Below are 2069 nucleotides of genomic sequence, written 5' to 3'. Positions count from 1 at the left end.
GAGCCTTATAATCTAGAGGGAAAAGTAAACACATATATGTTAACTCAAAGTCAAGGAAGACTAAGATAAACATGTAATAAAAGAATAAACAACATGCATGAGGACTGTCAGGGAGGGAAATGTTAATCTTGCCCTTTTGCTGCTGCCTCATTAAAATTTGCACTGACCACATCACAGGCAGTGTCAGGAGAGAAGAGCAACCGTGAGGAAGTGAGGAAGAAGATCCCAGACTGCATCTACACTGTCAAGAACAAAGCAAAGGGTAGACACGACCAGATCAAAACTGCAGCGTGCACTGTCTCCTTGCAGGTACATGACTCAAAGCACAAAAGCATCCTCAATGCATGAAGCTATAAGGAGAAGGCACTGTACTGGGAGCCAGGAGAACTAAGTTGTCAAGTCCCAACTTTTCTATCATCTTCAAGTGTGATCCGGAGCCAGCCACAGACAACATTTTGATGATCTGGGCCACAGTGTCTGCAAATTTGAGAATTAGACTAGATTGATTTCCCAGTTCCTTTGCCTGCCCTGAGTTTCCAGGGTTTCAGCACAATGCCATGGGCTCTGTGGACAGTCATGCACAGAGCAAGACTGCCCCTGAACAGACACCCAGATAGAGGACCTCGCAAAGCATAAGCCAACTGTGTTTTTTCCACCTGACCACATCCTAATCGTCAGGGTAGTGCTATTGTCAGGCTGCCCATCAGATAGAACATTCCACCTCACAGATGGATGCATTTCAGTGGGTCGCCAGTAAACTCTGAAGAAATCCCTGCTTCTAGGATCAGATATTCTGAAATAGCAGAAGTATTAACAGACTCTTAATTGTCGATGTAGTTCCCCTGCAGAACCAAAAGTAAGTGAGAGTCTCCTTGTGTGTTCAACTTGAGAGTTCTAAGTTTGGTATTTAAACTCCAGCATCCTCTGCTGCCTGAGTAAATATAATTAAATCTAGGTTTTTGCCTACTAAAATTAATGATCATTCACTCAGTGATGGCGATAATACTACTAATAATAAGTTCTTACGTCAGTACTTTTCAACTTTTCGGATGACTTTGACATGCTTTATCTCACTTGAGCTTAATGATAGCCATTCAGAATAAGTAGGGCAAGTATTATCATCCCCATTAATACTTAGAATAGCTAACATTTAGGTAGCCCTTTGCATTTACAAAGTGCTGTCACACATATTTTCCCATTCTACTAGAGGCCGAATTCCTGGGCATAAGTACTATGTCTGAGTCATCTCTGTACCCTGTAGTGTTTAGATGGGACCAGGCACATGCAAGTCACTCAATACATGCATATGAGATTTTAATTTCATCCTCATGAAAAGTCCATCAGGTTGTAAGGCAGCTATTTTCACCCTTGTTTTCAAATAGGGAAGTTGAGGCTCAGAGAGTTTCACTGACACATCCAAAGTCATATAGGAGTGTACAGATCAAGAAAACGGTCATTTCTAAATAATCCCAAAACATTGTGCTCTTTTTCCTCCATAATAGTGCTTGTCAAAATTGATCACGTGGTGATCTTGTTAAAATGAAGATTCTGATTCAGCAGTTCTGGGGCAGGGTGTGAACGTCTAAATTTCTAACTAGCATCTAAGTGATGCTATGACTGCTGGCTTGAAGACCACTTTTCAAGAAGCAAGAGGACATAGGAGGCCAAGAGCAATTAAATGACTTGCCCAAGGTCACCTCCTGAGTTAAAAGTAGAAATAGAATTATGAGTTATTTCACTGACTCACATTCGGCCCTAAGCTCGTTCTAGACATTTGCCCTCATGATTCAATAAAATGGCACTCATGATTCAATAAAATGGCACTCAGAGTTCACATGAGTCCCCACATACTCCCATCCCATTCACAGTTGGGAAGAATTTCTTAACCTCTCACACTCAAAAATACCAAAAACAACATTTCATTGTTGTTTAAGGAACACACACCAAGACACGTAACCAGAGCAAAAACTGCACTTCAGAAAATCAATTTTGTATTATGCTTCCTGTTATGCTACTAAATTGTACTGGCCCCCTTCAATCCCCAATATTCTATCAATTTTATCCTTATA

The 2069-nt window shown here is 40.9% G+C and overlaps 1 annotated feature.

The window, feature by feature from the left end:
• Positions 204-1403: an enhancer, noted in NCBI's record as "CDK7 strongly-dependent group 2 enhancer chr8:23747587-23748786 (GRCh37/hg19 assembly coordinates)". NCBI's record gives its function as "activates an origin of replication core promoter dependent on BRD2, BRD4, P300/CBP, MED14 and CDK7 cofactors, with strong dependence on CDK7, by STARR-seq in HCT116 cells {active_cell/tissue: HCT116}" and the evidence as "EXISTENCE:reporter gene assay evidence [ECO:0000049][PMID:35650434]".

Source organism: Homo sapiens, chromosome 8 (genome assembly GCF_000001405.40).
Source record: "Homo sapiens chromosome 8, GRCh38.p14 Primary Assembly".
NCBI classification, from domain to species: Eukaryota; Metazoa; Chordata; class Mammalia; order Primates; family Hominidae; genus Homo; species Homo sapiens.
This window is presented reverse-complemented; position numbering and strand designations above follow the sequence as displayed.